The sequence below is a fragment of the Homo sapiens genome, chromosome 5 (assembly GCF_000001405.40).
Source record: "Homo sapiens chromosome 5, GRCh38.p14 Primary Assembly".
Lineage (NCBI taxonomy): Eukaryota > Metazoa > Chordata > Mammalia > Primates > Hominidae > Homo > Homo sapiens.
Window position 1 is genome coordinate 138039024 of NC_000005.10, and position 23023 is coordinate 138062046.

At 44.0% G+C, this 23023-nt stretch overlaps 1 protein-coding gene across 2 annotated transcripts in view; it reads right to left on the reverse strand.

The window, feature by feature from the left end:
- FAM13B (family with sequence similarity 13 member B) overlaps nt 1–13155 on the reverse strand; it is a 114219-nt gene extending 101064 nt beyond the window's left edge. The window contains exon 1 of one of the 2 annotated variants that reach the window (XM_006714648.2): nt 12855–13155. The gene's annotated coding sequence lies outside the window, so the exon portion shown is untranslated. The remainder of the gene's footprint in view (nt 1–12854) is intronic. The other variant, XM_024446107.2, reaches the window with a different exon arrangement.
- Nucleotides 13156–23023: the final 9868 nt, after the last annotated feature.

Sequence of the window (23023 nt, forward strand, 5' to 3'; positions counted from 1 at the left end):
TAACAGTAAGTCTCATCTTTGCCAAGTCCACATATTTGGCCTGATAACTCAGAATTCAGTGTATGACAATAATGTAGGCCAATACTATCATCAGCTATAAGACTAATTTGTTTTGGTTTCTTTATTAAATTCCTATAATCAGCTAGATATTTTTTCCACAATCAGAACTTTTATTGTTGAAAATAAATAAATAACAAAGAATAAATATCCCTTTCTCTTCTTCCCTCTGCCTGTATCCATATAGGGGAAAGAAAAAACTGCTCTGAGATTCAGTGAGATTATGACCTTCACAAAATCATGAACTTTCTGCTGCCTTTTTAACCAGAAATCTAGGCAGGAGGGTCTCACCATTTTGCATATCCTACCTGTTCCTTACAGGCTCTAGGCTTTTGAGCCTTCCTATCATTTGACCAGCCAAGTTGCTTCTCAGCACCTTTTTTTTCCCCTTTGAGTCAGGGTCTGGGTCCAGTGGCCCAATTATAGCTCACTGCAGCCTCAGTATCCCAGGCTCAAGCAATCCTCCCACCTCAGCCTCCCAAGTATCTGGGACTACAGGCATGTGCCACCATGCCCAGCTTTTTTTTTTTTTTTTCTTAGAGACGTATTATCACTACATTGCCCAGGGTGGCCTCTAACTCCTGGGCTCAAGAGATCCTCCCACCTCGGCCTCCCAAAGTGCTGGGATTACAGGCATGAGCCACCATGCCTAGCCTTCAGGCACCTTCCATTCAGACCACATTTTCTGTGGCAAACTGACAACGCCAATGTTTGCAGTTTGCAGTTTAACTACAGCTGTATTTTTTGCCAAACATTTACACCTAACTACTCTTTTCCACTAGAGTATATAACAATTTACAGAAGCATTTAATGTTTTCTGAATCCCCAAGCTCATCAGCAGAGAAGCTCCAAAACATGAAGGTGTACATCCCTATTTTAGGCCTTCATAGAAAGAAACCAACCTGGCCGGGCACGGTGGTTCAAGCCTGTAATCCCAGCACTTTGGGAGGCCGAGGAAGGCGGATCACGAGGTCAGGAGTTCAAGACCAGCCTGACCAACATAGTGAAACCCCATCTCTACTAAAAATACAAAGTTAGCTAGGCGTAGTGGCGCATGCCTGTAATCCCAGCTACTGGGGAGGCTGAGGCAGGAGAATCATTTGAACCCAGGAGGCAGAGGTTGCAGTGAGCCGAGATTGCACCACTGCACTTCAGCCTGGCGACAGAGCAAGACTCTGTCTCAAAAAAAAAAAAAAAAAAAAAAAAAGGCCGGGCACGGTGGCTCAAGCCTGTAATCCCAGCACTTTGGGAGGCCGAGGCGGGCCGATCACAAGGTCAGGAATTCCAGACCAGCCTGGCCAATATGGTGAAACGCTGTCTCTACTAAAAATATTAAAAAAAATTAGCTCGGCATGGTGGTGCATGCCTGTGATCCCAGCTACTCAGGAGGCTGAGGCAGGAGAATTGCTTGAATCTGGGAGGCGGAGATTACCGTGAGCCGAGATCGCGCCACTGCACTCCAGCCTGGGCGACGTAGACACCGTCTCAAAAACAAAACAAACAAAAAAGAAGGAGATAATAGAATGGAGGGAAGACAATATTCAAAGAAATAGTGGCTGAACATTTTCCAGAATTGAAGGTAAATATCCTAAATTCTGGAAGACCAAAACTTGCCATGCTGAAAAGTATAAAATGCACACATAAAATTTAGTACCCAGAGAGAAAGGGGATCTTAAAATTAGGCAGCAAGAAAAGACATTAGGCCGGGCACAGTGGCTCACGCCTGTAATCCCAGCACTCTGGGAGGCCAACATGAGCAGATTGCCTGAGGTCAGGAGTTCGAGACCAGCCTGACCAACATGGCAAAACCCTGCCTCTACTAAAATTACAAAAATTAGCTGGGTGTGGTGGCACACGCCTGTAATCCCAGCTACTCGAGAGGCTAAGGCAGGAGAATCACTTGAACCTGGGAGGCAGAGGTTGCAGTGAGCTGAGATTGCGCCACTGCACTCCAGCCTAGGCAACAGAGCAAGACTCCATCTCAAAAAAAAAAAAAAAAAAGAAAAGAAAAGACACTAATCTTCAAAGAAAAGATAATTTGGCTGACAGCTGACCTTTCAATAGTAACAATAGAAGCCAAATGATACTGCAGCGTATCTTCAAAATGTTAAGAGAAAATTACCATCTTCCAGAAGGAAGATCCAAAATGCGAGAAGTAATGGTGAACAAAGAAAATTGTTTGCATGTTTGCTGTAAATCTAAACACTATCCAAAATAATGGCAACAATATCTAAATTCTACTATTGTTCAATAATTTAACATATACTATTGTGAGAGGGTAAATTAAAGTATTAGAAGGCTTTGTATTGTTTAAGAGGAGGCTAAATAAGTCTATAATTTGTTGAGTTAAATATACATGTTAAAATTTCTACATAATCAGTACAAGAAATTAAACAGTATATATAACTTCCAGTTTATTAGGGGGATAAAATAAAATAGGAAGATCTTAATTTTAAAAATGGATAAAAAATGTTTAAGGAGGACAAATAGTAAAACATTAGATAGCAGAAATAAATTCAAATATGAGTAATTACAATCAGTGTAAATATATTAATTCCTAATTAAAAGTCAAAGAGCTGGGCATGGTGGTTCACACCCATAATCCCAGCACTTTGGGAGGCCAAGGCAGGAGGATTGCTTAAGGCCAGGAGTTTGAAACCAGCCTGGGCAACATAGCAAGACCCCATCTCAAAAAAAAAAATTGGGGGTGGGGGGTGGTACTGAGACAGGAGAATCACCTGAACCTGGTAATTCAAGCCTGCAGTAAGCACCACCGCACTCCAGCCTGGGTGGCAGAGCAAGACCCTGTCTCAAAAAAAAAAAAAATATTAATAGCCAGGCACAGTGGTTTGCACCTGTAATCCCAGCTAGTCAGGAGGCTGAGGCAGGAGGATTTTTTGAGCCCGGAAGTTCAAGGTTACAGTGAACTATGACTGCACCACTGCACTCCAGCCTGCACAACAGGGGAAGACCCTGAAGTTCATAGCTGCATTTTTTATATTGGTGAAAAAAATGGAAACTCAAGCTCAGGTAGATAGCAATGATAGAATGATGAATGATTAATACAGTATGGTATCTTCATACCATGTAAACAATGAAAATGAACAAACTACAGCTACAAACAACAATGTGATGAATCACAAAAATAAATGAAAGAAGCCAGACACAAACAAATACTGTATGAATCCGTTAAAAACAGTTCAAAAGCAGGGAAAACTAAACTATCATTTTAGAAGTCAGAATTGTGGTTAAGGAGGGAAGTCTTTTTGAGGAAGGAAGAAATCAATAATAAGGAGGGGTCATGAGAAGATATTCCATTTCTTAACCTAGGGGGAAGTTGCACATATATGTTCACCTAGGGACAATTCAGTGAGCTGTACTCATGATCTGTATACTTCTCCATATGTATTTTATATTTCAAAAAGTTTAAAAATAAAAACTAGCTCCTTAAGTTTTTAAGTTTTTTCTTTAATTGAAATTAAATATAACAGTGTTTCCCAAAAAAAGCAAAACTAAATCATCATGTTTAGGGATACAAATTAGGGGAAAAACTTAAAAGAAAAAAAAAAAAAGCCAGGAAGTGACTATCATAGACATCATGATACTGGTTCTGGTTCTTCTGGGAACGAGGGGCAAGAGTTCGTGGAGACACAAAAATAAGAATGCTCTTATTCTTGATATGAGCTGTGGTGGTTACATGGGTGTTTGCTTTGTATTAAATTGACCAGGGGCCAGGCGCGGTGGGTCATGCCTATAATCCCAGCACTTTGGGAGGCTGAGGAGGGTGGACCACCTGAAGCCAGGAGTTCAAGACCAGCCTGGCTAACATGGTGAAACCCTGTTTCTACTAAAAATACAAAAAGTAGCCGGGTGTGGTGGCGCATGCCTGTAGTCCCAGCTACTCGGGAGGCTGAGGCAGAAGAATCACTCGAACCCAGGAAGTGGAGGTTACAGTGAGCTGAGATCGTGCCACTTCATCCCAGCCTGGGCAACAGAGCCAGACTCCATCTCAAATAAAAAAGAACAACAACAAAAGAAGAAATTGACCAGGCCAGCAAGAATCACTTGAGGCCAGGAATTGGAGACCAGCCTGAGCACCATAGTGAGACCCTGTCTCTATAAAAAATAAAATTAAAAATTAGCCAGGCATGGTAACACACTTGTAGTCCCAGCTACTCAGGAGGCTGAGGTGGGAGGATTGCTTGAGGCCAGGTCAAAGCTGCAGTGATCCATGATTGTGCCACTGCACTCCACCCTGGATGACAGAGAGAGACCCTGTCTCAAAAAATAAATAATAAATAAGAATAAATTATTGACCTGTGTTTACCTTGTTCGGGCATTATTCTTTTTTTTCTTTCTTTCTTTTTTTTTTTTTTTTGAGACAGAGTCTTGCTCTGTCGCCAGGCCGAAGTGCAGTGGTGCGATCTCGGCTCACTGCAACCTCCACCTCTCAGGTTCAAGCAATTCCCCTGCCTCAGCCTCCCAAGTAGCTGGGACTACAGGCGCACGCCACCACGCCCGGCTGATTTTTTGTATTTTAGTAGAGACAGGGTTTCACCATGTTGGTCAGACTGGTCTCGAACTCCTGACCTCATGATCCGCCTGCCTCGGCCTCCCAAAGTGCTGAAATTATAGGCGTCAGCCACCGCACCCGGCCTCTTTTTTTTCTTTTTTTAACAGAAATGGGATCTCTCTCTGTTGCCCAGGCTGGTCTCAAACTCCTGGGCTCAAGCAATCCTTTTGCCTCACCTTCCCAAAGTGCTGGGATTACCAGGTATGAGCCACCATACCCAGCCAGGACATTTTCTATATGAATATTGCACAATGAAAAGGGGGGTATTTTGGTATTTTTATTAGAGAAAGTGTCTCACTCCATCTCCCAGGCTGGAGTACAGTGGCTCCATTATAGCTCATGGTAGCCCAGAACTCCTGGGCTCAAGTGATCCTCCCACCTCAACCTCCTATGTAGCTGGAACTATAGGCACATGCTGTCACACCTAGCTTTTTTTATGTATTTTTTATTTTTTTGGTAGAGACAAAGTCTTGCTATGTTGCCCAGGCTGGTCTTGAACTCCTGGCCTCAAGCGATCCTCCCACTTCAGCCTCCCAAAGTGCTAGGATTACAAGCATGAGCCACTGCACCAGCCTAAAAAAGATATTTTAAAGTAAGCTTTTAAAAAAAGATAATAGGCCGGGCGCTGTGGCTCATGCCTCTATTCCCAGCACTTTGGGAGGCCAAGGTGAGCGGATCACCTGAGGTCAGGAGTTCGAGACCAGCCTGACCAATGTGGTGAAACCCAGTCTCTAATAAAAATACAAAAATTAGCCAGGCATGGTGGCACACGCCTGTAATTCCAGCTACTCAGGAGGCTGAGGCAGGAGAATCACTTGAACCCAGGGGGCGGAGGTTGCAGTGACCCAAGATCACACCATTGCACTCCAGCCTGGGCGACAGAGCAAGACTCCATCTCGAAAAAAAAAAAAAAAACGGATAATATAAGACAATGTCTTCGTGATTCTTAAATAAAACACAACCTTTTCACGGTACAGTAAGGATTGATAAATTCAGCTATTTTACATTTGACACCATTAAAAAAGTGAAAGTTCAAGCCAAAAGACTGGAAAAGTTAGCTACAAAACATTCAACCCAAAAAGGACTACTATCTACATGATATAGAGAACTTCTGGAAATAAATTTTAAATTTTTTAAAAAGACAATCTAATATGAAATTACAAAAATAAACTTTTTATAGGGATTGCATCATAAAAGGAAATCCAAATGGCCAACACATGTATGAAAAATACTCAACCACATTAGTAATCAGGGAAACGCAAACTAAAAAATACAACTTTACATCCACCATAATAAACTCGCCAGCATGGCCAAAATTAGTAAGTCTGATAGTATCAAGTGATGTGGAAGAGCAGAATCTCTTTCACTGCTAGTAGCAGTGTAAATTCTAAAATTGAAAACATAATATCTCTAGAACTAAACAGTTCCACTCCTGAGTATATACTCTGGAGATCTGTGTGCACAAAGGTAGCAGAATATAGGTATAAAAATGTTCACATCTGCATTAATTCTAATAGTCCAAAAATGGAAACAAAACACTCCAGCCACAGAAGGATAGACCATACAAGGAAATACATACAAGAATGAGAAAAGAATGAGGCCAGGCATGGTGGCTCATACCTGTAATCCTAGCCCTTTGGGAGGCTGAGGCAGGCAGATCACTTGAGCTCAGGAGTTCGAGACAAGCCTGGGTAACATGGCAAAACCCTATCTCTACAAAAAATACAAAAATTAGCCAAGCACAGTGGCACACACCTGTAATCGCAGCTACTCAGGAGGCTGAGTGGGAGGATGGTTTGAGCCTGGGAGGCAGAGGCTGCAGTGAGCCAAGACTGTACCATTGCACTTCAGCCTGGGCAACAGAGCCAGACCCCATCTCAAAAACAAAAAAAGAAAAAAAGGATGAATAAACTTAGACCTACAGGTAACCGCATTGTTGAATCATAGCAATAAAGAAGGTAAATAAAATACAAAAGAAACCTACAGAATGGCTCTTTTATAAAGTTCAAAATCAGACAAAACTAGTCAGAGGTACGTACACAGGTGGTAAAATTACAAACAGTGGCCAGACACAGTGGCTCACACCTGTAATCCCAGCACTTTGGGAGGCTGAGGCAGGTGGAGGTACTAAAAATACAAAAATTAGCCAGGCGTGGTGGTAGGTGCCTGTAATCCCAGCTACTCTGGAGGCTGAGGCAGGAGAATCACTTGAACCCAGGAGGCAGAGGTTGCAGTGAGCCAAGATGGCACCACTGCACTCCCACTTGGGCAACAAGAGTGAAATTCCATCTCAAAAAAAAAAAAAAATTATAAAGAGTATGATGTGGTTTGGCTGTGTCCCCACCCAAATCTCATCTTGAATTCTCACATGTTGTGGGAGGGATGCAGTGGGAAGTAATTGAATCACGGGGGCAAGTCTTTCCCATGCTGTTCTCGTGATAGTGAATAAGGCTCACACGATCTGGTGGTTTTTATAAGGTGGAGTTTCTCTGCACAAGCTCTCTCTTTGCTTGCTGCCATCCACATAAGATGTGACTTGCTCCTCCTTCCTTCAACCATGATTGTGAGGCCTCCCCAGGCACGTGGAACTGTTAAGTCCAATAAACCTGTTTCTTTTGTAAATTGCCCAGTCTCTGGTATGTCTTTATCAGCAGTGTGAAAATGTACTAACACAGAGTAGTAACTGCCAAGCAACTGATTACTGTAAAAGTCAGGATGGTGGTTTATCTCTAAGAAGAGAGAGGTGGTATGTGACAGACAAGAGCCACAAGGCGAGCTTTGAGGAAGGGGCATTGTCTATTTTCTCTTTCCCTAATTGGATGGTGGCTACACAGGTGTTTCCTTTAGAATTTTTCTTTTTGTGCATTTCTGTTTTCTGTCTTTCTTGTATATGTTTTCATTTTGGAATTTTAAAAGTTGGAAACAACAGGAAGTGTAAGTGGTAGTCTCTGGCCTTAGTTTGCTCCTGAAACTCAATTTGGAGCTATTGATAAATGCTGAATTAATGTCCAGAAAATACATTTAATTCAGTAGTTTAATACTATTATGAGACATTATTACTATATCAGAATAAGGGTATTTCTTCTTTTCTTTTTTTCTTTTCTTTTTTTTGAAATGGAGTCCCACTCTGTCACCCAGGCTGGAGTACAGTGGCACAATCTCAGCTCACTGCAATCTCTGCCTCCCGGGTTCAAGGAATTCTCTGCCTCAGCCTCCCGAGTAGCTGGGATTACAGGCACCCACCACCACGCCCAGCTAATTTTTGTATTTTTAGTAGAGACGGGGTTTCACCATCTTGGCCAGGCTGGTCTTGAACTCCTGACCTTATGATCCACCTGCCTCGGCCTCCCAAAGGGCTGGGATTACAGGCGTGAGCCACCGTGCCCAGCCACTTCTTTTCACTTACTCAGAAAGCAACTCAAGCTTGACAGATATGGAGTGAGCTATCTGTAGAGAAGAAACAAAAGAACAATCATTTTTAGTTGGGGGGCAGAACAAGCATGTGGCAAAGTACTACATAAAGATGGCTAGTGTAGGCAGAATAATGATGTCCCAAAGATGTCCACATTCAGACCGGGCGCGGTGGCTCATACCTGTAATCTCAGCACTTTGGGAGGCCGAGGCGGGTGGATCATGAGGTCGGGATATCAAGACAATCCTGACTAACAGGGTGAAACCCCACCTCTACTAAAAAAAAAAAAAATTAGTAGGGCGTGGTAGCACACGCCTGTAGTCCCAGCTACTCAGGAGGCTGAGGCAGGAGAATTGCTTGAACCCAGGAGGCAGAGGTTGCAGTGAGCCGAGATCACACCACTGCACTCCAGCCTGGTGACAGAGCAAGACTCCATCTCAAAAAAAAAAAAATGAAGATGTCCACATTCTATTCCCTAGAACCTGTGAATATGTTACGGCACATAACAAATGGGAATAAAGGTTATAGGCAGAATTAAAGTTGCTCAACTGACCCAGAGATGGGGAAATTATCCCGGATTATCTGGGTGGGCCCAATGTAATCACACAGGCCTTTATAAATGGAAGAGGAAGGCAGAAGACACTGGAGTGACTGGGTATGAGAATAACTCAATCTGCCATTGCTGGCTTTGAAAGTGAATGGAGGCCATGAACCAGGGAATGTGGACCACCTCTAGAAGCTAGGAAAGGCAAGCAAACAGATTCTTTCCTATAGACCCCTAGATATTCCTCTAGGGGCCTGACTTTAGCCCAGTGAGACCCACGTCAGACTGCTGACCTACAGAACTATAAAATAATACATTTGTATTGTGTTTTTAAAAAATTTTAAATAACCTTTTTATTTTAGAATAACTTTAGGTTTACAGAAAAGTTGCAAAAGATAGTACAGAGAGTTCCAAGTTTCCCCTAATGCTAGTACCTAATGCCTTTTAAAATAGAAAGAAAGAAAAAAGAAAGAAAGAAATCCAAAAAAACAAAAAACAAAACTCTAGAGCAGTTTTAGGTTTACAGAAAAATAAAGCAGAAAGTACGATTTCCCATATACCCACTGCCCCACACATACAAATCTGTGTGTTTGAGCCACTAAGTTTGTGGTAATTTGTTATAGCAATTAAAAACAAAACAAAACACTAATACAACGCCAAATGGCACTTTGGAGTACAGGGAAAGAGAGGTAGGTAATTTAGAGATGCATATATACATGGTAAAACACTAAAGAAAAATAATAATCCAAAATTCAATATAATTGTTACTTATAGTGGAGGGTACAGAACTTATAGGTGTGACCCCGCACCCCTAGGACACAGTACACTAGCCTATAAGAGGCCTCTATGTGAACTAGAAAAAAGAATTGTTTTCTGAGCAGATAATTAGAAAAATGACATATCCACTGGGTAGGAACCAGCCTATGGACCCTCAGCCTAGCACCAGGTGGTGTCTTTGTACCCAAGGAAAAAGCTCCATTTTTTAGGAGGCAAATCCCTCTCCCCTTGGTAAGGCACCTTTTTGCAGTGGCCAAATTGTACCAGCATGCTGGCCGACCCCTAGGACCTTCAGAGCTTTTGTAACATTCTAATTCTCAAGCCAAGTAGAAGGTATATAGGGTTTGTTTTTCATAATTATTTTGCAAATTGTATATATGCATTACATGCTCTTTCTCATATATTCACAATATTTTTAAAAGTATTCAGCAATGTGATGAAATATAGCATCATTGTACCCCATGCAGACCTTTGCCACTACCTCAATGTCAGTCTCCTTCTGACTACAATCTAAAAATCAGAGAATTCTGAAGGACATTAGAGTGATACATTTCTTTTTTTTTTTTTTTTTTTTTAAGGCGAAGTCACTCCTTTGCTCAGGCTGGAGTGCAGTGGTGAGATCTTGGCTCACTGCAACCTCCTCCTCCCAGGTTCAAGTGATTCTCGTGCCTCAGCCACCCGACTAGCTGGAGTTACAGGCGTGCGCCACCGCGCCCAGCTAATTTTTGTATTTTTAGTAGAGACGGGATTTTACCACATTGGCCAGGCTGGTCTCGAACTCCTGGCCTTAAGCAATCTGCCTGCCTGGGCCTCCCAAAGTGCTGGGATTACAGGCGTGAGCCACTGTGCCTGGCTTCAGAGTGATACATTTCTTGTTTTGTTTTTGTTTTTGTTTTTTCCTCAAGATAGAGTTTTGCGCTGTTGTTGCCCAGGCTGGAATACAATGGCGTGATCTCGGCTCACTACAACCTCTGCCTCCCGGGTTCAAGCGATTCTCCTGCCTCAGCCTCCTGAGTAGCTGGGACTACAGGCGTGTGCTACCACGCCCTACTAATTTTTTTTTTTTAGTAGAGGTGGGGTTTCACCCTGTTGGTCAGGCTGGTCTTGAACTGCTGACCTCAGATGATCCACCCACCTCTTCCTCCCAAAGTGCTGGGATGACAGGCGTGAGCCACCGTGCCCGGCCTAGAGTGATACATTTCTTAACTCCATGAAACCTCTTTTCATTTGGAGTAAGTTACCAAGCAAAACAGGATTTTCCATCTGTCAGCCTCCATTCCTATCTTCAATAAGTAGTTCTGTCTGTTTTCTCACTCGGATATTGTCCACAGTGCTGGGAGCTAAATGTGCAAACTACAAAAAGTTTGTGGGCACTTATAACCCAAGAAAGCTTCCAAAACCTAAAGAAAAATTTCATTATTAGGGATCCAGAATATCTAATAAAATCCGACATGTTTGGCCAGGCACAGTGGCTCATGTCTGTTATCTCAGCACTTTGGGAGGCTGAAGTGGAAGGATTGCCTGAGACTAGGAGTTAGAGACCAACCTGGGCAACAAAGTGAGCCCTTTTCTCTACAAAATAAAATAAAATAAATTTAAACATTAGCCCGGTGTGGTGGTATGTGCCCATAGTCCCAGCTTCTTGGGAGGCTTAGGTGAGGGGATCGCTTGAGTCCACAAGTTCAAGGCTACAGTAAGCTATGATCACTCAACTGTACTCCAGCCTGAGTGACAGAGTGGAGACCCTGCCTCAAAACAAATAAAAAGAGGGCCAGGCATGGTGGCTCATGCCTGTAATCCTAGCACTTTGAGAGGCCGAGGCAGGCAGATCACCTGAGATGGGGAGTTCAAGACCAGCCTGACCAACATGGAGAAACCCTGTCCCTACTAAAAATAAAAAATTGGCCAGGCGTGGTGATGCACGCCTGTAATCCCAGCTACTTGGGAGGCTGAGGCAAGAGAATCCCTTGAACCCGGGAGGCGGAGGTTGCAGCAAGCTGAGATTGGGCCACTGCACTCCAGCCTAGGCAACAAGAATGAAACTCCGTCTCAAAACAAACAAACAAACAAACAAACAAACAGACAAAACATCTGACATGCCAACCTGAAAGGAAGCAAAGAGGCAGAAAGAACTTGGAAGGTTCTATGCCAGCCCCACCATCTTGGACTCGGAGATACTACAACTCAGAGATTGCCTTGCCTCTTCCAAAGAAGCCCAAGACCTTTCTTTTTTTAAAATAGAGGACCTTGGATAGGACAAGACTACAGAAACACCTGTTAACCTCTCCCATACTGTCTACTGTCTTCAGAAGGGGTCACTTGGGTTTATTGGTCCAAAAATTCAAGCCCCAGACCATGAAGTGAAAGTTTTGCTTCTTAAATATAAGCTCTTCCCACCCTTCCAGACCCAAGAACTGTCTCTACCCAACTATGATGTTGAGTCTAGACAAGTACTTACAGAGGGCCTTACAGATAGTCTAAATTCACATCTTCACCCTTCTGTTAAATTGTTTTTACAAATACAAAAATAATACATATTTGTTCCTGATTTTTGGCACCAAAAATTATAATACATAGTCTTTAGGAAAATTCAAAGATTTAGAAGAATAAAGAAAAGCATATGTAGCATATTAGTGGGGGGGGGAGAATGAAAAGCAAAACTCTCACTTCACCCTAATCTTCCTCTACTTCCCCCAAAAGTAAACCTTCTGAAATATATCCTCTCAGACCTCTTTTCATACATTTATAAAATGTACACACACAATTATCTTTTTCTTAACATAAATAGGATCATAGTATAATACTCTAATATGCTTTTTACACATATTATTCCTTAGAAATAGATCCATATTAGTAAATTTGTTTCTAGTTTTCACTATGAAAAACAGTGCTACAATATGTTTGTATACTCATGTATATTTGTGTAGAACAGATTCCTGGAAACAAAATTGTTTAGAATTAAAGAATAACACAGTTAAAATTTAATATATGTTACCAAACCTACCTCCAAAGAGGTGTTATAAAAATATATGAGAATGACTATTTGCTTAAACTTTCACCAAAAAGGGACTTTATGTATATTTTTAGCCAATCTAATGAGCAAAAACAATGGCACACGTTATTGAACTTGCATTTCTCTAATCACAAGTGCGGTTGAGTGTTATGCTTCCTGGCCAGTTGTATTACTTAGTCAGTGAATTCTCTGTCCATTTCCATTGCCTGTTTTTCTGATTGCAACGTCTTCATTTTCATCACAAAAGTAGCAACTATATATTGAGCATCTGACTGTGCTGGTCCCTACACTATGTATTTTTAAGTAAATTATTTCTTAAAACAACCCATTTTGCAGATGAGAAATGTGAGAACCATATAGAGAGGAAATTCAAACCCTGGTCTATTTTACTCTAAAACCTGCACATTCCCCACTATATCACTATACCAAAAAGCTTCATTTTACCTAAATGTGGTAGGACCAAAGGAAAATGACTCACCCAAACACTCAGCCCTGTAGATGTCCCTTTCAGTCGGCAAGTATGGTAGGCTTTTTACCACCCTCTTCTTCCCGTCCAGAAAACAAGGTTGAAAACTGCCAAAAAAGTCTGTTCAGGCAAACTTGGCTGCCTATTATCTGTGTCCTTAGAGATAAAGAACCAGCGTCGAAGATAAAGAAAGTAGAAACACCAAGAAACATGGAGACCTTGGACCCATTCCATCCAGTATCGCAGTCAAGGCAGCAGGCTGATGGCCTGACAAGTCAGCCAGGGTTTCCAGGCACCTCCCAACACCCTCCTGCTGTGCTATAATTAAAAAAAAAAAAAAAAACCTGAGGCATGGCAAACTTTTAATCACAGGCATGAGTAACAAAGTTTAAGGTCTGGGTTTTTATAAAATCAAAATGATGGCCGGGCACGGTGGCTCACGCCTGTAATGCCAGCACTTTGGGAGGCTGAGGTGGGCGCATCATGAGGTCAGGAGATCAACACCATCCTGGCTAACACAGTGAAACCCCGTCTCTACTGAAAATACAAAAACAAAATTAGCAGGGCGTGGTGGCGGGCACCTGTAGGCCCAGCTACTCGGGAGGCTGAGGCAGGAGAAGGGCGTGAACCAGGGAGGCAGAGCTTGCAGTGAGCCGAGATCGCGCCACTGCACTCCAGCCTGGGCGACAGAGCAAGACTCAAAAAAAAAAAAAAATCAAAATGATTATTTTATAATCCTTTTATTATATAATTCAGATTGAAAGGTGTTCCTAAGAATGTCACTTTTGGCCAGGCTTGGTGACTCAAGCCTGTAATTCCAGCACTTTGGGAGGCTGAGGTGGGTGGATCGCTTGAGCCCAGGAGCTTAAGGCCAGCCTGGGCAATATGGTGAAACCCTAGTCTCTACCCAAAAAATACAAAAATTAGCTGGGCATGGTGGCACACACCTATAGTCCCAGCTACTCAGGAGGCTGAGTTGAGAGGATCACTTGAGTGTGGGGAGTTAAGGCTTCAATGGGCCATGATTGTGCCACTGCACTCCAGCCTGGGCAACTGAGTGAGATCCTATCTCAAAAAACAGAATTTCTGGCCAGGCACAGTGGCTCATGCCTGTAATCCCAGCACTTTTGGGAGGCCAAAGCAGGTGGATCACCTGAGGTCAGGAGTTCAAGGCCAGCCTGACCAACATGGTGAAACTCTGTCTCTACTAGAAATACAAAATTAGCTGGGCGTGGTAGCACATGCCTGTAATCCCAGCTACTCAGGAGGCTGAGGCAGGAGAACAGCTTGAACCCGGGAGGCGGAGGTTGCAGTGAGCCAGGGTTGTGCCATTGCACTCCAGCCTGGGCGACAAGAGCGAAACTCCATCTCAAAAAAAAGATTTTCACTTTTGTTTTTCTCAAATGTGATTAACCTAATGTGAAGTACAGGAAATGTGATTTTTCTGATTTATTGTTCATATTGATCATAATGTTCCCAAGAAAGAAAGATGGGGTAAATTATGTCTAAGAAACTGCCAAACTCCCTTCTTTTCTCCCCAAAACATTAAGCACCTATGTGATGGGTTGATAATAGTCTGAAGCTGGGATGGATATATGGAGTCACATTAAACTAGCCTTTCTACCTTCATATAATTAAAATTTTCCACCAGCTGGACACAGTGGCTCAAGCCTGGCCTGTAATCCCAACACTTTGGCCAGGAGAATCGCTTGAGTCCAGCAATTGAAGACCAGCCTGGGCAACATAGTGAGACCCCATCTCTAAAAAAAAAAAAAAAAATCCAATAAAAAATCACCCCAAAAAAAGTGCCAGGCACTGGGGTAGAACACAATGAGTAAAACAGTTTCTATTCTTTTGAGGAGCATAATCCATTTTGTTATCATGGTAACAGCTGACAAAGCACTTTCTCAAATGTATTAACTGATCATCCTGTAAACACATATTATGATTCCACGTTGATGTGGGAGCCTCCTACTTTTTGCTATGCCCTTTCTTCCTGGTCTTTCTTGTTTTCTGTGATAAATCTGTTCTAGGGAGGGTCAGATCCCTGTCAGTTGGGGGTGGGAGGGGTAGAGCGAGACCAGGATGGAAAGAAGACCTTTATCCTGTGGGTGGAGACCTGAATGGGGTTAGTTTCAGGATATCTCAGACAATATCATCAGAATCTTAAATGCCGTAGCCAACCTTTTAAACACTTAGAGTGAGCCTTTCACTTACAGATTCTTCCTTTGAATTCAGGGTGATTTTTTTTATTTTTAGACAGCTAAACTGGGTCACAGAAAAAGAGCTCCTTTCCCAGAATTACACAGAAAAATAGCATAAAATGTTATTCCCTTCGACTCCCAGAATCTCCTTCTGTGAAGTTCAACCATGAAAAGCAGGACTGATGCTTCCAGCTAAATTTTGTTTCAAATTGGTTTGATCATCTACTCTACAGAGCAACCCAGGCAGCCCATTCACCTCTGCAATGCTGTCTCCCTCAGCTCTCAGAGCCCACAGAATCTGTTCTGCTTCAGTTCTCTCTTAGAAGCCTCTACTAATTTTCCCCCACGTGGTTGTAAAGTCCTATTCATGTGTACAATGTCCACTTCTTCTTTATAAGTCAGACCTGAAAAACTTCAGAGAGTTCAACCATACTGAATATACCCTGTTGCTTCTTTGTTGTCTAATTCTCAAACGTGTAAAAAGAAGCATGAGTTTACGGCCAAAAATCAGGCTGGTTGTCAGAGACAAGCACTTGTCTATTATCCCCACTTCATCCACAATTACTTCATCCTCCCAGCCTCAGTTTCCCTGTTTACACACAGCCTAGAATCTGGTGCTTTCTCCCTCCTTGCCAGGAAGTTGATACAGATCTTGATGTAAAAGCAGGGCAAAAAGAGAGAGAGAAAAAAAAGCAGGGCCGAGGGCTCTCCAAGTTCTTTCAGAGACATAGTAAACAGTTGTTTGCTTGTCAAAGGACCTATATGGGCCACTACAGTGCAGACAACACAATTTCCCACAATGGAGGTAAGCAAAATAAAAGACCATGGACAGAGGAAAGATGACTGGAAGGAAGCCCCAGTTTTCCTTATCACCCCTCAAGCTTTGTAGGGGAGGTATAGAGGCAGTCAGCCTGACTCACAGCCAGCGCTACTGCTCCCCGGCCAAAGAGGGTTCAGAAGCGAAGGGCTGCTGGATTCAAAGGTCCTAGGCTGACAAACGTAATGGGATGTATTCATCCGAGGACTGGCAGGCTTTCCTTTCAGCTCCGGCTCCTCAGGGTATAAGTCAACTTCCTCTCACTCGTTCTCATTCCTGAGAACCCTGGGAGCTGACAGACGAATGGGGATAAGGGCCAGACTAGGAGATGCCCTTACAGCCCCAGGTAGAAGAACTGGTTCAAGATGCAGGACATCTGAGAAGAGGAAACAGATTTCCCCCCGTGGCTCCAAGCATTTCTGTAAGCACCACCTGTACCTGTCACGAGGAAAAAGCTCCTATTAGCCCTAAAACTAGCCCTCTCCACTTCCCAGCCTCTGAGAGAACGCCAAGTAATGAGAAGGGAAACCAATGAAACATGGGCTGAAAGCATTACCTCATCAGAGTGAACCCCCATTGGCTGCAATGACTCTGGACGAGGCTTGCACGCTAGTAAATTAACCCTTGTCAGGAACATAGACCTCCATGTGGGACCCCTTCCCTCCCCTACTGCTCCTTGTTTTCAAATTAGGAAAAGGGGTAGATGGGGAACAATAGACCTTTCCCTAACATTTTTCTTAGGCATAGGTAGCTATACAATGGTTATGAGGAAGTTTGTATCTCCTCTCCCCAAAATTGTTCAGTGCCTTTTGAACCAAAATGGAGCCACCTGCAACAGACTGATAAATATGGGTTACGTAGGAAGAGGCAGAGTGAATTATCAGTCGTTTTCTAAACCTACCTACCATGGAATTGTCAGAGGGGCAAAGACCAAAAAGAATAATAAAAATTAAAACACCTTGGGAAAGATTGGCAATAAATTGATCTTGTTTTTTGCAACTTATTTTTTAAGGTTATCCTCATAGGTACAGCCTCTATTTTTAATGCAAACTGCCAAAAGATATGCTAATTTTTTAAAAAAGGCAAATAGCAGACAAAAGTTTGAATTTATTACTTGAATTGCTTCATGAATAAAGTGTTCAATAAACCTGTCTTCCTACTATCAAAACTCTGTATTTGACAGAACCAAGACAAAAGATTGTTGTATGCTTCAAAAACTATGCGGCAGGCATGGTGGCTTACACCTGTAATCCCAACACTTTGGGAGTCCAGGACTGGAAGATCGCTTGAACTCAGGAGTTCGAGACCAGCCTGGGCAACATGGCAAAACTCTGTCTCTACAAAAAATACAAAACAATTCGCTGTGTGTGGTGGCACACACCTGTAGTCCCAGCTACCCGGGAGGCTGAGGTAGGAGGATCACCTGAGGCCAGGAAATTGAGGCTACAGTGAGCTGTGACTGCCCCACTGCACTCCAACCTGGGTGACAGAGTGAGACCCTTTCTATTAAAAAAAAAAAAAATTGCACTTGGTGACTAAAGTCAAGGGAGAGAAGACATCTAAGACTGACTTGATTCCCTCAAGTAAAAGTTATTAGCTCTGAGCTAAGAGCTAATTTGCAAACAAGGCGTGAAGATAACTGTAGTTGTGAATACTGAGAGCTGAGTATTTGAGAAAGAGGTCCTATGCCCATACTATAGGCAGAGGCTTTCTGGGAACATTATTATGTCTTTTATTCTAAATTGATTTAAACTTAAAATTGACCAAAATATTGTGGGGTGGTGGGGGTTGTGGTTTGTTGTTGGTGGTGATTTTTTAAAAGCTTAAAAGCACCGTTGTTTTTTTTTTTTTTGAAATGGAGTTTTGCTCTTGTTGATCAGGGTGGAGTGCAATGGCACAACCTCAGCTCACTGCAACCACCACTTCCTAGGTTCAATAGATTCTCCTGCCTCAGCCTCCCAAGTAGCTGGAATTACAGGCGCCCACCACCACACCCGGCTATTTTTTTGTATTTTTATAGTAGACATGGGGTTTCACCATGTTGGCCAGGCTGGTCTCAAACTCCTGACCAAAGATTTGTTTGTTTTTTTTTTTGAGATGGAGTCTCGCTCTGTCGCCCAGGCTGGAGTGCAGTGGCATGATCTCGGCTCACTGCAAGCTCTGCCTCCCAGCTTCACGCCATTCTCCTGCCTCAGCCTCCTGAGTAGCTGGGACTACAGGCGCCCACCACCATGCCCGGCTAATTTTTTTTGTATTCTTAGTAGAGACGGGGTTTCACCGTGTTAGCCAGGCTGGTCTCAATCTCCTGACCTTGTGATCCGCCCGCCTCTGCCTCCCAAAGTGCTGAGATTACAGGCGTAAGCCACCGCACCCGGCCTGTTTTGTTTTTTAGTGAAGTACAGTAAGTCCTCACTTAACATCAGTGATAGTTTCTTGGAAACTGTGACTTTAAGTGAAATGATGTATAACAAAACCAATTTTACCACAGGCTAATTGGTATAAACAAGAGTTAAGGCTGGGCACTTTGGCTCATGCCTGTAATCCCAACACTTTGGGAGGCTGAGGCTGTAAGATCACTTGAGCCCAGGAGTTGAAGACCAGCCTGGGCAACATAGTGAAACCCCAGCTCTACAAAAAATTAGCCAGGCATGATGGTGCACACCTATAGCACCAGCTACTTCAGAGGCTGAGGTGGGAGGATTGCTTGAGCCTGGGAGGTCAAGGCTGCAGTGAGCCATGATTGCGCTACTGCACTGAAGCCTGGGTGTAAGAGGAAGAACCTGTCTAAAAAAAAACAAAAAAGAGGTAAGTTCCTGTGGCATATTTCTTGTCACAAAAACATCACCAAACTTCGAAATAAAGACCAAAACACTTTTAATATAAAAAATTAAGATAGGCTGGGCATGGTGGCTCATGCCTGTAATCCCAGCACTTTGGGAGGCCAAGGCAGGTGGATCACTTGAGGTCAGGAGTTCAAGACCAGCCTGGCCAACATGGAGAAACCCCATCTCCACTAAAAATACAGAAATTAGCAGGGCGTGATGGTGCATGCCTGTAATCCCAGCTACTCGGGAGGCTGAGGCAGGAGAATGAGGCAGAGGTTGCAGTGAGCTGAGATCACTGCATTCCAGCCTGGGTGACTGAGAAAGACTCCATCTCAAAAAAAAAAAAAAAAGGAAGAAAAAGAAAATTTAAGATAGATATGAGCTCTACCTACATTTAAGAAAGACTCATCAAAACAAGTGAGATAATTATTACCCAGTTATTCCAGTTCAAGGTCTTGAGTAGCCAGAGCCTATCCTGGCAGCTCAGGGCACCAGGCAGGAACCAGCTCGGGACAGGATGCCATCCTGTTGCAGGGTACATTCACACACATGCTGATACTCACGCAGACTGGGTCTATGAACCTAACAGGCATGTCTTTGGGATGTAGGTAGAGACTGAGCACCTGGGGAAAACCCACACAGACATGGGGAGAATGAGCAGACTCCACACAGACAATGGCCCTGGCTGGGAACCAATATTTTTTTCCATGAACAGTAAAGGAAACATTGAAGGAAATGACATTCTGCGAGGACCTCCTATAGATTAAGACAATGACTGATTCACTTTTGCTACAGTGAAAGTCATACTCAAGTGGCCGGGCACAGTGGCTCACACCTGTAATCCCAGCGTTTTTGGAGGCCGAGGCGGGCAGATCACGAGGTCAGGAGTTCGAGACCAGCCTGATCAACATGGTGAAACCCTGTGTCTACTAAAAATACAAAAATTAGCCAGGCGTGGTGGTGTGCACCTGTAATCCCAGCTACTCAGGAGACTGAGGCAGGAGAATTGCTTGAACCTGGGAGGCGGAGCTTGCAGTGAGCTGAGATCATGTCACTGCACTCCAGCCTGGGCTATAGAGTGAGACTCCATCTCAAAAAAAAAAAAAAAAAGAAAGTCACACTCTTTCGTGGCCAGGGCTGTGTTTTAAGCCCAGCCCTGACTGCAACCAGTGGATTCCGAACCTGTTGGAGTTGTGGTAAACCCTTCCAACTGGAATTCTACAACAGAGTAATTCAATGACATTAAAATAGGACAAAAGACCAAAATCCTCTGGAAAGAACAGATTCTGACTTGAGGATATCTTGGGAAGTAAACCGTGCAGCATATAGGCCATAAGAAAGAGATAAAGGGGCTGGGCACAGTGGCTCACGCCTGTAATCCCATCTCTTTGGGAGGCCAAGGCGGGCGGATCACCTGAGGTTGGGAGTTTGAGACCAGCCTGACCAACATGGAGAAACCCCATTTCTCCTAAAAATACAAAATCTGCCAGGCATGGTGGCACATGCCTGTAATCCCAGCTACTCGGGAGGCTGAGGCAGGAGAATCACTTAAACCTGGGAGGCGGAAGTTGTGGTGAGCAGAGATCACACCATTGCACTCCAGCCTGGGCAACGAGAGCGAAAGTCCGTCCCAAAGACAAAAAAAAAAGAAAGAGACAAAGGGACCCTGAAAAAGTGATTATTCACTTTGGCAGTCACGTCCCCGGTGATCTCGGCTCTCCGGTTCAAGTGATTCTCCTGCCTCAGCCTCCTGAGTAGCTGGAGCTACAGGCGTGCGCCACCACGCCCAGCTAATTTTTGTATGTTTAGTAGAGACGGGGTTTTGCCATGTTGGCCAGGCTGGTCTCGAACTCCTGACCTCGTGATCCGTCCACCTCAGCCTCCCAAAGTGCTGGGATTACAGGCGTGAGCCACCGTGCCCAGCCGTCCCAGTTACTTATTAATGAGATATGTACACCTATTACACACTGCTCAACTTTTTACACCTTGGAATCAGATTGGACACCACCACCCTCATTTTGTGTTCCATCTTGATTTTTACAAGGTACTTGCCTTTTGTCACATCAAAACCCTGGCTTTTTGAAGATACAACATCAGGGCATAAAGGAATGTGCACAATCTAATGTTCAAATGAAATATGTTTGGTACTCAACATACGTCACCATGGTTCCCTCAAAATTTTGAAATATGCCATGGTTGTACTCATGTGAGTTCCCTGCCAAGCCTTAGGGTGCCTTGACACACAGTCTGGGAAACAGGGACATGCACTGTTTCATTTCATCCTCACAACAGACCTGCATTGTAGGTACTACACCAATTTCTTTTTTTTTTTTTTTTTGAGACAGAGTTTTGTTCTTGTTGCCCAGGCTGGAGTGCAATGGCACAATCTCGGCTCACTACAAACTCCGCCTCCCAGGTTCAAGCGATTCTCCTGCCTCAGCCTCCCAAGTAGCTGGGATTATAGGCATGCGCCACCACGCCCGGATAATTTTGCATTTTTAGTACAGATGGAGTTTCTCCATGTTGGTCAGGCTGGTCTTGAACTCCCTACCTAGGGTGATCCGCCCGCCTCGGCCTCCCAAAGTGCTGGGATTATAGGCGTGAGCCACCATGCCTGGCAAATACTACACCAGTTTTATAGATCTGGGAATTCAGGCTGAGACCAGTGAAATGGTTTTTGTTTGTTTGTTTGTTTGTTTGTTTTTTGAGACGGAGTCTCCCTCTGTCACCCAGGCTGGAGTGCAGTGGTGCGATCTCGGCTCACTGCAAGGTCTGCCTCCCAGGTGCACGCCATTCTCCTGCCTCAGCCTCCCGAGTAGCTGGGACTACAGGCGCCCGCCAATACACCCAGCTAATTTTTTGTATTTTTAGTAGAGACGGGGTTTCACCATATTAGCCAGGATAGTCTCAATCTCCTGACTTCATGTTCCGCCCATCTCGGCCTCCCAAAGTGCTGGGATTACAGGCATGAGCCACTGTGCCTGGCCGAGACCAGTGAAATAATTGTCACAGTTCACACACCTAGTAAGAGCTGGCACTGGATGTAAACTCAGGTCTACCTGACTCAGCACCCACATGCTCCTTTTGGTAGCCATGCAACTTCTTCCACCACTTTTTCAGGATATTAGACTCACAGACCGTCAGAGCTGGATGGGATCTCAGGGATGATCTGGTTCCAGCAATCTGGTTTGACAGATTAAAAAAAAAAAAAAAAAAAAAGATGCCTGAGAAGGGAAATGATTTGACCAAGATATTCAACTGTCTAAAGGCAGAGCTGAGCCTGGGCCTCCAGACTCCTGGTCTAGATCGCTTTCCCTTCCGCCAGGCTGATTCCCTATTAAATGAGAATAAGAGAAGACAGAAAGTATTCCCAAGAAGTATCTGCTCCTTAAGATGTTTTCGTGTTAGGGTTCATGTGGTTCTCAGAGGCAAATGATAGCTGTCCTTGAAGGTCAGAGGCTGTCCTCAGGGCACAACAGGTGACTCTGCTGTCCTCCCTGTAGCATCTTCCACTTGGAACCAGCTCTCCCCAAACCAACCACATTCCCACTACTGTTCTTGAGCATCCTGTCTCCATCAAGTAAAGCCCTCCCCCATCCTGAGTCCTCTCTCCTTTTAACCTCTACCCACCAGTCCAAGGCAGGGTGTTTAAAACACCTAGCAGAGGCCAGGCGCCGTGGCTCATGCCTCCCAGCACTTTGGGAGGCCAAGGCGGGTGGATCGCCTGAGGTCAGGAGTTTGAGACCAGCCTGGCCAACAAGGCAAAACCTGTCTCTACTAAAAATACAAAAATTAGCCAGGCATGTTGTTGGGCACCTGTAATCCCAGCTACTCGGGAGGCTGAGGCAGGAGAATCACTTGAACCTGGGAGGCAGAGGTTGCAGCAAGCCAAGGTTGCACCACTGCACTCCAGGCTGGGCGGCAGAGTAAAACTCTGTCACAAAAAAATAAATAAAATAAACACCTAGGAGAATGATAGCTCTGCTTCTCATTGGTCTTCCTTGCCATACTGTTGCAATAAGGAATCATTTTTGCAATAAGGAATCATTTATGCAATAAGTATATCCACAGTTTCAATATCACTGAGAACAAGCAAACTGCCAACACACCAGGCCATGCAAAGCTATATATGAAATTTCTTTTTTTTTTTTTTTTGAGACAGAGTCATGCTCTGTCACCCAGGCTGGAGTGCAGTGGCGCAATCTTGGCTCACTGCAACCTCCGCCTCCCGGGTTCAAGCAGTTCTTCTGCCTCAGCCTCCTGATTAGCTGGGATTACAGGTGCACGCCACCTTGGCCTCCCAAAGTACCAGGATTATGGGCGTGAGCCACCATG